The sequence below is a fragment of the Homo sapiens genome, chromosome 4 (genome assembly GCF_000001405.40).
Source record: "Homo sapiens chromosome 4, GRCh38.p14 Primary Assembly".
In the NCBI taxonomy this organism is placed as follows: Eukaryota; Metazoa; Chordata; class Mammalia; order Primates; family Hominidae; genus Homo; species Homo sapiens.
The window spans coordinates 86,743,900-86,756,479 of record NC_000004.12 but is presented as its reverse complement, the minus strand read 5'-3'; the positions used below and the strand labels follow the sequence as shown (position 1 = coordinate 86,756,479).

Below are 12,580 nucleotides of genomic sequence, written 5' to 3'. Positions count from 1 at the left end.
AAATTACAAAAACTATCATTGGACAATGGTGTGAAGTACTTTACATATTAGGTGATCCTAAGCAAAAGCCCATCCATTATTTAATGCCTAGTTTAATGAGTTTAAGTATCCAAGATCCTTTTATCAAAAAATAGGCAATTAGTTCTATTTTTTAGCTAGAACAAATACAAAACAACACAGAACAAAACCCATAAAATTAAATAAAACAAATAAGGGGGTGAGGTCACATTAGGAACTGAAATCAGTATAGCCTTTAAGAGACCACATTGATGAGGTGGTAAGAGAGAACAGATTAAAGCAAAGTGCTTTGTAAAGTGATTAAATGATGATCATTGCTTTAAATTTCCATTTCCTCCTTCAAGTTTCAGATTTAATAACCCACCGTTCAGGAATTGGGATACTTGGAAACTAAGGAAATCCATTATTCTATGGTAGGTACTTAATAAGTCCATTAGGCATACAGTTCCCAGAAAATCAAAACCCCAAGCAGTAAAGACGGAATAAAATGAAAGAAGAAAGAGAAAATGGCTTGAGGAGACTAATGGTTGAGTTGCTCTGGTTCTCATCCCAACTAAGAATAAAAAGGCACTTAACTGTGGTGAGTTTTAAACATCCCAACAAACCCATCAAAAGTTGAAAATACCCTAAGTCAAAAATGCATTTAATACATCTAACCTACTAAACATCCCAGCTTTAGCCTAGCCTAACTTAAATATGCTCAGAACACTTATGTTAACTTATAGTTGGACAAAATCATCTAAAACAAAGCCTATTTTACAATAAGGTGGTTACTATCTCATGTAATTTACTGAATACTGTACTGAAAGTGAAAAACAGAAGGGTTGTAAGGGTACTCAAAGTACAATTTTTACTGAGTGCTTATTTCTTTTGCACCACTGTAAAGTCAAACCATGATAAGTCGGTGACCATCTATAGTTCGTGGTTTGGACACTTCAGGAAGCAACATGACAAACTTAGCTAAAAGTTACTTTTCAATTGCTGTATAATAATTACAGTAAAACAAGAAACATTAAAATCAATTTTACATAATTCTTGGAAAAGTTTTTACATATTTTTGTTTTTACTCTTACAAAGGAAAATAACCAGTGTTTTTTTTTTTAAGTTGAGCAACTTTTGTTTTTGAAATCACAATTTATCAAGGGATTAGAATCCTTTCCATATCACCTTTTCAAAGTGTGAGATTAGAAGAATCATGACTTTTTTATCTTTTCTTTCAAATTTCACATTCTTTAAGAATCTCTGGAGGCCATAAAAGGTAAGAGCGAATATAATACATTCATCCTTGTTCTAAGTGATGAATAATTTAATATTAACTGATGTCCATTTATAATTTTCATCTAATAATCTTGACCAGCAGGAAGAACATTGAAATTAGAGTAAGAGGTCCCATATTTGAGGCATGGGCAAGTAATTTTACTTTTTGATCCTTAGTTACACTATTTGCAAAAACATGTTTGCCATGCTGTATTATGTGAAAACTTGATTCTCAACAGAGTACTAATTCAGGCTACTTGGCCAGATTCAAAGAGCGTTTTGAAGAAAATATAGCCTTGTTTGCAAGCTAACTGAGGCATACCTCTATATGAAGGTGGATTGGCCCTACTGTCCAGGGCAGGTGAGACTTTAAGCCTTCTGAAGGTTTAAATAGAGAAACTAACCAATGTAAATTCATGCTCATTGGCTATCCAATGTACATTCATATTCTTTTTCATCATAATCTAAGCTAAAACACATTTAAAATTATCATACTTGAATAGATTATTATCCAGCTTCTTTCAAAAGTTTAGCAGGGAGAAATAATACTTAGGCATGATCACATTATGAGGAGGTCTAAAGAGTAGATTAGAGTGTAGACTCTAGAAACAGATTGCCTTTGTTCAAATCACGGCTCTACCACCTGCTAACTTTGTGACCTTCTGTACAACTTAACTCTCTATGCTTTGGTTTCTTACGTGTGAAAAAAAATAACATTAACACCTACCTCATAGGGTTGTTGTGGGCATTAAATGAGAAATAATAAAAAGTGCTTAGAACAGTGCTTGACACATAGTAAGCACTAAATAACTGTTAGTCAATAATTACTACCATATGGACATGTTAATAACTAAGGTATTTCAGGTATATAGGCATTCTAAATTCAGTCCATGTAAGGAGTTTGATCACTAGAAAGCTATATAACAGGATTAGCAATTTACGTCCAAGTATAAGTTCAATAATTTTTTCTTTAATGATAGGCCCTCATATTTTTCGAGGATACATTCAAAAATAAAATGAGAAGGAAAGAAACCTCATCTTGATTTGCTATGAGTATTTAAGACATTGTGTGTAGTTTTACTTTTAAAAGCAATTTTAATTCCAAGAAAATTTTTTCTGTCTTAAAGAATTAGTATGTGTATTTTTATTAGAGAATGAGAATCATACAAAATAGCACTCTGGTGTTTGACAGTTTTGACCTAAAAATACCCAGCAATTCTATATAGTTCAGTCTTATGCCTTCTGTTTTACCCTGGCTACAGGAATATTGAAACTAAATTTACAACTTCATCAAGTTTAGCTGTATTAATAATTTTAATTAACATAATGGCTTCTTTCTCATCAGGCTTTTAATTATTTCAACTTTAAGAGTCCAAGACTGAAACATTTTTGGAGGAAAGTAGTGTATGGATAGTAATAAAACATTATTTTCTACTCATGAAAGTTGTTAGAAAGATCAAATAAGATAATGTATATGAAAATACTTTGCAATCTAAATTCTAAAAATTTTAAAGCCAGTGATGTTCAAGTCACTGGACATTTCTGGTCTTCTGCCTACGATTTTGTTTCTTAGATTCCTTCTAAACTATAATCTCAGCATTTAAAGTCTTCAAAATATCCTCATAATATTTAGCATAAGATTAAAAACTGGTCCCTACTTAGTTCTCAAACTTTACCCTGGCCCCCACATGCCACCATACTGAGACTCCTGCAGTTCCCTAAATTTCTTTTCTCATGATTCCATGTCTCTGACCATGCTATGCCCTTGATCTGGAATGCTTATCTTTATTGTTCCGTCTGAATGAATCCTCCTTTCCCTCTAAAATTCAGCTCCAGCATCCCTTTAAAATAACTGCCTCAGTTAAAACTCTTTTTAATAGAAATTATCTCCCACCTGAACTATTATCTTAGCTTCCCAATTAGTGTCCTTATCTCTAATTTGTCATTTCATCAACATTAGCCTAAATCAGAGGTCCCATTACATCATTATGATGCTGAAAAATACAACTCTCCTTTAACTTCAATGTAAGATCAAATCCTAGGCATGGAACTCAAGACTCTTCATTGTTAGGTCCAAGACTATCTCAGTAAGGTACAAGAAATGATGGAAATGAGGGGAAAAACATTTTGTAAACCTACCATTTTCTTTTAAGGGTACTTGGGATGAAGAGTTTCCAGAACTATGCATAGTCATTCCTGTGGCATAAATTAAATATTAGACATTTCATAAGATGGTCAGATGCTAGATATCGAAGTGATTTCTTCTGATAAGCTCATAAAAATCAATAGAACAATAAGGCAGCAACATTTTGTATTTACACTGAGAAAACATCCTCCAATGGGCATTTTCACTATTTTAAATAGTAGCTAAGCATAATAACTTATTTTGCAGCATAAATTTAAACACAAATATATTGTTTCTGACAATACTTTGATATATCAAATATGAAATGATGAAACTGGAATGAGTTTTTCATTTGTTCAAGTGTTAAAAGAATATTCATTATTCAGTAAGAATGAATAAATACAAAATGCAGAAAAATTTCCTTTAAGAGTGTTTTATGTTTTCTATAGAGTATTTACTATTTTCCTTCGGATATGTAATGAATTTTCATGTAGACCAAAGCCTTCTTAATGAAAATAGTTTAGAATGTATGAGGCCCCGTTATATGTGAACACTTTGAAAAGTATTTCCTAAAAGATCAAATCAATCTCTTAGCCTATTTTCAACACAGAGTTACCTATAGAATGAAATCTTGCCTTTTATCTAAGTTTTTTTAACTGACTGAAATTAAATTGATAGTATAGTCTCTGAAAGTTGCGAAAGCCTACATTAATAAAGTAATGTTGCTTCCATAAATATTTATGTATTATAATGCAGAATTGTCTTTTGTCTTCATTTACTCGACATACCCTGAATCCAATTATAGAATAAAAAAAGCTTTTAAACTTTGGGTAATTAGAGATAAATTAACAAACCTTGAGCCTAAGAAGAGAGTTTAGTAGTATTTCGTAAGACAACAGAAGGGAAACAGTCCTCATTTCCCTTTTGTTTCCCACGCTGTTTCATATTTTGAGTAGTAGTTCAGATCTCTGTGCTTAAACATCCATTCTTTTCAAAGATCGACTCCAGTGCGTTTCCCTTTTAAGTTGCACAAGGCAACAGGAAACCTGAACTATTTATCTTAAAAGGTAGCATGTATAAAAGGTAAGCATCTTAAAAGGTGCATATATATAGATATATATGCACATGTGCATGCACACACACACACACACACACATACATACAATTTCACTTAAATAATATGCCCTGCTATCTGGGAGAATTTGAAGAAACTGAAATCAACTTAAAAACTTCTACCTATCAACCATAGCACATTTCATAAAATTATCTAAGGTTTTAGAGACAATTTTGTTCCTGCTAAGCTGAAAGCATTCTAAGTAAATGCTTCTCCAAAACTATAGCATTACCAGAGTTCATTCACATCGGCTTGAAAGGAAAAGCCAAAAAAGGTAATCCAAAGTAATGGCACATGACAGTCTTAGTAAGACTGTCATGGCAACTGTGACCAAGAGAAGCTAACAGACTGGGCGTGATGGCTCAAGCCTGTAATCTCAGCACTTTGGGAGGCCAAGGTGGGCAGACCCCTTGAGTCCAGGAGTTCAAGACCAACCTGGGCAACATAGTGAAACCCTGTCTCTACAAAAAAATATAAAAAGCCAGATGTGGTACTGCGTTCCTGTAGTCACAGCTATTCAGGAGGCTGAGGTGGGGGGATCACTTGGGCCCAGGAGTTTGCAGCTGCAGTGAGCCATGATCTCTGCACTCCAGACTGGGTGACAGAGTAAGACCCTGTCTGAGGGGGAAAAAAAGAGAAGCTAATAGTCTGTACCATGAAGCAATCACTTGTTAAATCAAGTGGTAATTTGATTTGGTGCATTTTAAGTAGCCTAAAATTTATATTCAGTTTTGGCAATTAGGACATGGAACCCAAAATAATTTGATAATTAAGATGATCTTGTTCACTTCCCTCTGAGCATGAGGTATGGGACAAAGAAGGTAAGCTTGTTTTTGCTGACCTAGAACATATGCTTGCCCAGGGTCTTCAATGGATGAGGAGTCTGATTCATGTTTCCTCCTTTCAGGACTTCTATTTAAACTCGCAACAGACTTTGAACTGAAGAGGGAAAAGGAAGGTAGGAGGGAAGTGTTAATGTAAAAAAATATGGTGAAAATAATAAAATGTCATAACAAAAAGAAACGTATGAAATGTAGAATTTACAAATATGTAATTGGGTTAGTTAATATGTTCTTACTTATTAAGTTTTGTCACTCCTGCCAAAGATTCTGCATCAGATCTTGACATCTGGTGAGAAGGTTTTCCCACCAACTCTGCAACGGTTTGTGGTGGGGGTTCCATGTTAACAATGACATTTTTCCGATGTGGATAGAGAGAGGCCTGACTGAGATCATGGTATGATTTACTCATCTCTCTAGGCTTTTCCTCCCATGAAGCTTTGTCATTCTTCTCTTTTGAACTGTTTTGCAATGGCTGGTAAAGCGACAGCTCTGAGCAGGATAGCCTCTTCAGAATCTCAGCTTGAACTGATAAAGGTCGAACAGCAAGTTTGTTGAGGGTGCTGCTGGCCAGACTGCCAGTGCTGATTGCTCGTCCCATATTAAATCCTCTAACAGACTCTGCTTGGAGATTCAGGCTCCTAAACGAAGCTCTCTCTACAAGGAAATAGGATTGCTTTACATGATGGTAACGCCACAGTACTTTTATGAGAATAATTATGTTAATAAATAAGCAGCATGCAGTTTTTAATCATTTTGATTGCCAGCATAAGTAGGTAGCTTTCAAAGTGTGGCAATCAGGGTTTTAAAAAGGAGGGTTGAAGATCTGGTTTTCATAACATATTTTCATCTCTTTAGCTTTCTCTTAGTTGCAGCCTACTCAACATTTCCTGCTTCATCTAATGATTTTCTTGGACTCAACAATGTTTGGGGCTCAGGCTTGCTGACACCAAATTCCTTATAGGTTTCAGTTAGAAATGAGAATGACATTTAACACAGAAATTTTCAAACCTAGTACTGTCTCTGCTAAAATATCAGCACCCAAGGATAGGGAGAGGGAGAGACGAAACCTAGATGGGCTGAGATGGTGAATACACACCTGAAAAAGCTATGCAGAGGGGTTTTGCCCAGACAGTTTTTAAAGCTTAAGGCAGATTGCGGTGATGGTGAATTGCATACTTTAAATGGATGAATGTATGGTATTGAATTGTATCTCAATAATGCTGTTACAAAGAAAAAGCATTTATGGCAAATTATTCCTTTTGTTATTTCACTACTATGCCAAACCCACCTTCTCACTGGGCTGACTTAAGGATTTATCTGAGGCAACAGAGGAATGGGAGAATCAAACAGTACTAATCTGTCTGTTTCAGTATCTGTAAATTAACATGATCAGGGAGCTGGGCATCTCTTTATGCTTCAATTTCTTTCACTCCCAAATACACATCCAAAGTTCTCTTATAGAGGCTAAATTTACAGATACTTTATAACAAGTGTTTGGCTATTCTATTTTGTAGGAACCAATGTCACAGTGATATTTTAATATTTGAGGCTAATAACAAAAGCAATGCAGCATATGTAAATGAAGAATAGGAGCAAAGGATTTCAAATGATTTAGTTTTTCATGCAGTTAGTGACCCACATCACAAGGCACTCCCTTTGATGCCCTCTGGAAAGCAGCAATTCTATGTTGTTGCATTCTACACAGAACTAAGTTTGACTGCTACATACAACAACTGGGAAAACTTCCTTTTATAAAGAAAATGTCTCCCTCAAGGGTGCCAGGTGATGATGATGATGATGATGATGATGATGAAGATGAAGAAAAAGGAGGAGGAGGAGGAAGAGGAGACAGAGGAGGAGGGAGGGAGGGGAGAAGGAAGAAAGAAAATATCAAATGATTACTGACTTAGATTCTTGGATTGTTTCATTTATCTTCTACTTCCTAGGAAGATTAATAATTGATATTTTCTCTCAGGCATAAAGAGGTAGGAAAACATTAAAGGTTTTTAATATTCATGCATCAGAATGAAGTTTAAAGAAACATGCCTCATTGTCACTAGGAAAATTCAATGATCTCTCTCTGAAGTGGAAGTGGGCACCAAGTTATAACAAGACCTTAAAAAACAAAGACTTTTAAAAATACACCTTTGTTAAAAATTCCCATAATCAGGCTGGGCGCAGTGGCTCACGCCTGTAATCCCAGCACTTTGGGAGGCTGAGGTGGGCGGATCATGAGGTCAGGAGATCGAGATCATCCTGGCTAACACGGTGAAACCCCATCTCTACTAAAAATACAAAAAATTAGCTGGGCGTGGTGGCAGGCGCCTGTAGTCCCAGCTACTTGGGAGGCTGAGGCAGGAGAATGGCGTGAACCCGGGAGGTAGAGCTTGCAGTGAGCTGAGATCGCGCCACTGCACTCCAGCCTGAGCAACAGAGCGATACTACATTAAAAAAAAAAATTTCCATAATCATCTTTACCTCAAAATATAGTTTTTATTAGAGCAAATAATGCTATTCTATTTTCATTTACTTTACGAGTAGCCTGTAATCAAAGAAGCAAAATAAAGTCTTCAGAAGGAAATGCCTTTACACCCAATAGGTTTCTCCATCCTTAAAGAAAATGTGGACCAAACTTTGGCAGGAATAAGGATAGCAGGCTCAGTTTAGTCAGTTTTGTGAACATATTAGGGAGTATGCTATTCAAATCCATTTGTAGCCTACTCTTGGATATGGGATGGGATCATAAACCAACCATTTATCTGGTCTTTCCTACTGCCTTTTACCTGGAAAGAACTCCAACATAGATTAGAATGAGCCTGTATCCTAATACTAATGTTTCAAATTTGAACACAAAGGCTCGCTAGCTCCACACTGTCTGCAATCCATACTTCCTAATCTGTTTCTGCTATTGTTCAGTCCCTGGTACCATTTTGTGCTTCCTTATATCTCCAGCTTAATCATATTCTCTTTTTATGAGAGGGACTTCATTTATTCTCTTATCCCATAGTAGTGTGCACTTATAAATAGTAAATGCTCAATAATTGATTAATCTTAAATCCATGCAAATCAGTTCTTGGGAAACTCATCAAACAGAAAGTACCCTGGATTAGGAATTAAGAGACCTCTATATATGACATGAGGGCAAAACACTATCTTCTCTGAACCTGTTTTGCCATTAGTAAAATTTTGAACTTAATGACCTGTAAGGTTCTTTCTAGCATCAATATTCTATGACTCTAAAGAAGCAGCATACATTTGTTAGCCCATTAACCGCCCACAGATAACACCAGTTGTTTTCACTTGTAGTACAAATAAACAGGCAGACAGTTACTTATAAGCCAAGGGGAAAAATATAGATCACACCATCTTAAAGTGCTTTCACTTTTGAGGGCAAGGATACATAGCTGTTGTGATCCTGGGGGTAAACCTGTTATATCTATATATACAACATTATTCCCAGCCCCACTCCATGGATGAAGAAACTGAGATTCTAAAAAGTCACTTACTTTCCTAAGGTCATTCATTCATCTACTACTACTACTGCTGCTGCTGCTGCTGCTGCTGCTGCTGCTGCCGCTGCTGCTGCTGCTACTATTACCGCTATTACATAGTATAGCAGCATATAGTATAGTAGTAGTACTATCTTCTAGAGGTAAAACATTGTTGATGATGGTGATGACAATGATAATGAATACTTCAGTAAATATTTACTGAATACTTTGTGCCAGGTAGTTTTAAAGGATTCTACACGTATGAATTCATTTCCTTTTCACAACTTTCTGATATAGGTATTATCTTATGGCAATCATTCTATAGATAAAGTAACTAAGGCAAAGAGTTTAAGTAGCTTGCCCAAAGTTTTAGGGCTTGTAAGTGACAGAGCCTAATTTGCCACTGGCAATTTGGCTCCTGAGCTCATGCTCTTAACTGCTATACCATATTGTTCTTCAGTATAAGAAATGTTGAGGATGACAGACTAACTTCAAACTTTTGTCTTCTGATTCTGTTCACTATACAACAACTATAATGAAGTAATCTTCAGTTGTTATGGATTGTACTGAATAGAATATTAGTCAAAGTAAGAATGCTGATGGCTCTAATAGGTCTGATATTTCACTATACTTTGAAAATATATGAGCATATAAACTTTCTAGCAGAGCAAAGCAGAAAGAGAATAATGATATTATAGCAGTGGTTATTGTATTTTAGCATGTGTAAAAATCATTACTGAGTTGGGAGGCCGAGGCGGGCAGATCACGAAGGTCAGGAGTTTGAGACCAGCCTGGCCAACATAGTGAAACCCCGTCTCTACTAAAAATACAAAAATTAGCTGGGCGTGGTGGCGGGTGCCTGTAATCCCCTAGTCTGGAGGCTGAGGCAGGAAAATCGCTTGAAACCAGAAGGCGAATGTTGCAGTGAGCCAAGATTGCACCCAAACAAGATTTTGACAAGAGCGAAACTCCGTATCAAATAAAAGAAAAAACAAAACAAAAAAAAACATTACTGAGGAAAGCCTGTTAAAGTACAGATTTTAGGGAACAAATTCCCAAAGACTGTAGCTCTCTGAGTTTTACGTAGGTTCCTGGAATCTTCATTTTAAATCAGCATACAACCTCCACCCCTATCATGATTCTGAAAGGTTGAGAAACATCTAGTCATAGGTTGCCATCGCCCCAGTCTGCCCTTATGGGGAAAACATTTTTTGAATGTGAAACAGTTTGGGTAAAGAATTCATAGGACCCTGCTGCACAAGGTCATCAGTGCTATTCCATTAAATTTTTAAATCACATACTTCTGACTGTTTCACTTATACCTATAAGAATTTACTATGTAGAATTAGATTTTGTATAATTTTAATCTCTAATTGCAGAAATCACCAAATCAGTTTTATCTCTCTGAAATTTAAATATTTCAGTTCTGATTGAGATATTTTTTCCAGAGTCAGATGAGTTTCTTCTGCTGGCTCCTTTTCAAAAGAAAATAAACCATTCTCCTGACCATTTACATTGGGTACTATGATTATTCATCTCAATCTCAGAACAGGGATGCACCCAAGTAAAACTAATAGGTAGTAAATCTGCCACCCAGAAGACTATACAGTGTGTCTCTTCACTGTCCTGTTCTGGGTGCATACTTCCCCCATCCTCTGCCTTGTTTCCTGTGTTTTTTCCCTCATCTCTAAAGCCCTTCCATTTATCTCCAAACTACTTGCATTATTTTTATCCTTTATATCCAATTCAAGTGCCACCTGTCCAGTACTCTAGTCTCTGATTTCCCTCTTCTAACAGTATAGGTCATAAAGTCTGTTCAATATAATCTGTTCTTCAAATCCTGAATTTTTTTTTTTTGAGACAGAGTCTCGCACTGTCGCCCAGGTTGGAGTGCAATGGTGCGACCTCAGCTCACTGCAACCTCCGCCTCCCAGGTTCAAGTGATTCTCCTGCCTCAGCCTCCCAAGTAGCTGGGATTACAGGTGCCCGGCAACACGCCTGGCTGATTTTTTGTATTTTTAGTAGAGACAGGGTTTCACCATGTTTGCCAGGCTGTTCTCAAACTCCTGACCTCGTGATCCACCCGCCTCAGCCTCCCAAAGTGCTAGGATTACAGGCGTGAGCCACTGTGCCTGGCTGAAATCCTGAACTTCTATTGTGTATTGCTGTTTCAAGCATGTTGGTCTTACCCTTCCAAATATTGGATAAGCTTACTGAGGGTAGAGAACATGGCCCAAATGTTTATAATGTTTACATCAACTAGCCTATCATTGCTAAGCACAAAATGGACACTTCAACAGGTACTCCCTAGGAGTATTCTCTCAGGGTGAACATGAAATTGAAATATTGGCTTCACTTGTAACACCTTTATAGACTTGATTTAGCTATTTAACATGTATATACATTGTAAGTTTTCATCCTAATCATGGCAGTTCTTTTAAAACTTGGTGGCAAAAATTATTCATATTCCCAGGAGTCATCTGAAATAGTCTGCTTCTCCTTACCAATATCTTGGGCATCTTGGTTGCTCTGTCTTGCTCTCATCTGTAGCTGGAACTTATGCTGGTAAGAGCAGAGGTGCAGCAGGTACTGGCATATCTTACTGTTGTCTGTCTGGAAGCCATGTTTTATTCCATCTGATGTATTTTGCAATGTGATTTTCTTTTTCTACAATATTAACCAAGGGTATTCATAATTATAGTAAGTAGAGATATTATTTATATTTCTTGTTAGGCACTGGATATTGACTTACATCTAATATGAATATAATCCTATATAGTCATGCATCACTTAACAATAAAGACATGTTCCAAGAAATACATCATGAGGCGATTTTGTCATTGTGCAAACATCCTGAAGTGTACTTAAACAAACTTAGATGGGCTAGCTTACTACTACACACCTAGGCTATATGATGTAGCCTATTGCTCCTAGGTTTCAAACCTGTACAGCATACTACTGTACTAAATACTGTAGGCAATTGTTTGTGTAGTATACATCTAAACACAGAAAAGGTGTGGTAAAGATACAACATTATAATCTTATGGGACCACCATTGCTCGTGGTCAGTTGTTGACTGAAAAATCGTTACATGGCACATGACTGTATTATTATAAACAAATGCAAGAAATAAATTAACATCGTTTGCCACTTTCAGAAATTGTAGCCTAAATCTAGATTGTATATATCAGTCATTAACAAGGGAAACAGATTCCTTTGATAAGATTATTGATATTTTGAATTTATGGTAATGTTTACAAACACCAAAACTGTTTGAAAAGGAAATAATAAATATGTGTTCTACTCTATTGGATACAAGAAAATGAAAGTTTAACAATAATTTTTTTATTAATATATAATGATAAGAGCCAGGATTCAGTCAAGTAGAGTCTGGGTGGCATAAAGGCTGAATAGAAGTTGTGGAAAATTAAAGAAAATGTGAGATGGAAAGGTACTGGTAACATAACTGCTGGGTTGAGAGATAAAACACATTGATATTTAGAGATGGTGATTTGTGCCAAATATAGAGAAAGTAGGAGAATCATCAAATCAGTTTTATCACTCTGAAATTTCTTGAAAACTGAATGTCTTTTGTGGAAGAGAGCATACTCCAATTTGTGACCTATATGGTAAGGCTTGCTGGTGACCCATGCCTTAAGAGACCAGTGTTCAACATGTCGGGGATCTAAGACTAATGTCTCTGGAGAACCACTTAAGTCCAGTTAGACTGTAC

At 36.2% G+C, this 12,580-nt stretch overlaps 1 protein-coding gene across 24 annotated transcripts in view; it reads right to left on the bottom strand.

The window, feature by feature from the left end:
- Positions 1-12,580, bottom strand: part of PTPN13 (protein tyrosine phosphatase non-receptor type 13) — a 220,847-nt gene that overhangs the window by 58,682 nt on the left and 149,585 nt on the right. For 9 of the 24 annotated variants that reach the window (XM_011532165.3, NM_080685.3, XM_017008511.3 and 6 more), the window contains 4 exons: positions 11,352-11,514; positions 5,593-6,010; positions 5,356-5,453; positions 3,415-3,471 (listed from right to left, as the gene is read on the bottom strand). In XM_011532165.3, the coding sequence (XP_011530467.1) occupies positions 3,415-3,471; positions 5,356-5,453; positions 5,593-6,010; positions 11,352-11,514 (736 nt within the window). The remainder of the gene's footprint in view (positions 1-3,414; positions 3,472-5,355; positions 5,454-5,592; positions 6,011-11,351; positions 11,515-12,580) is intronic. The other 15 variants (XM_017008512.3, XM_017008514.3, XM_017008513.3 and 12 more) reach the window with 2 other exon arrangements.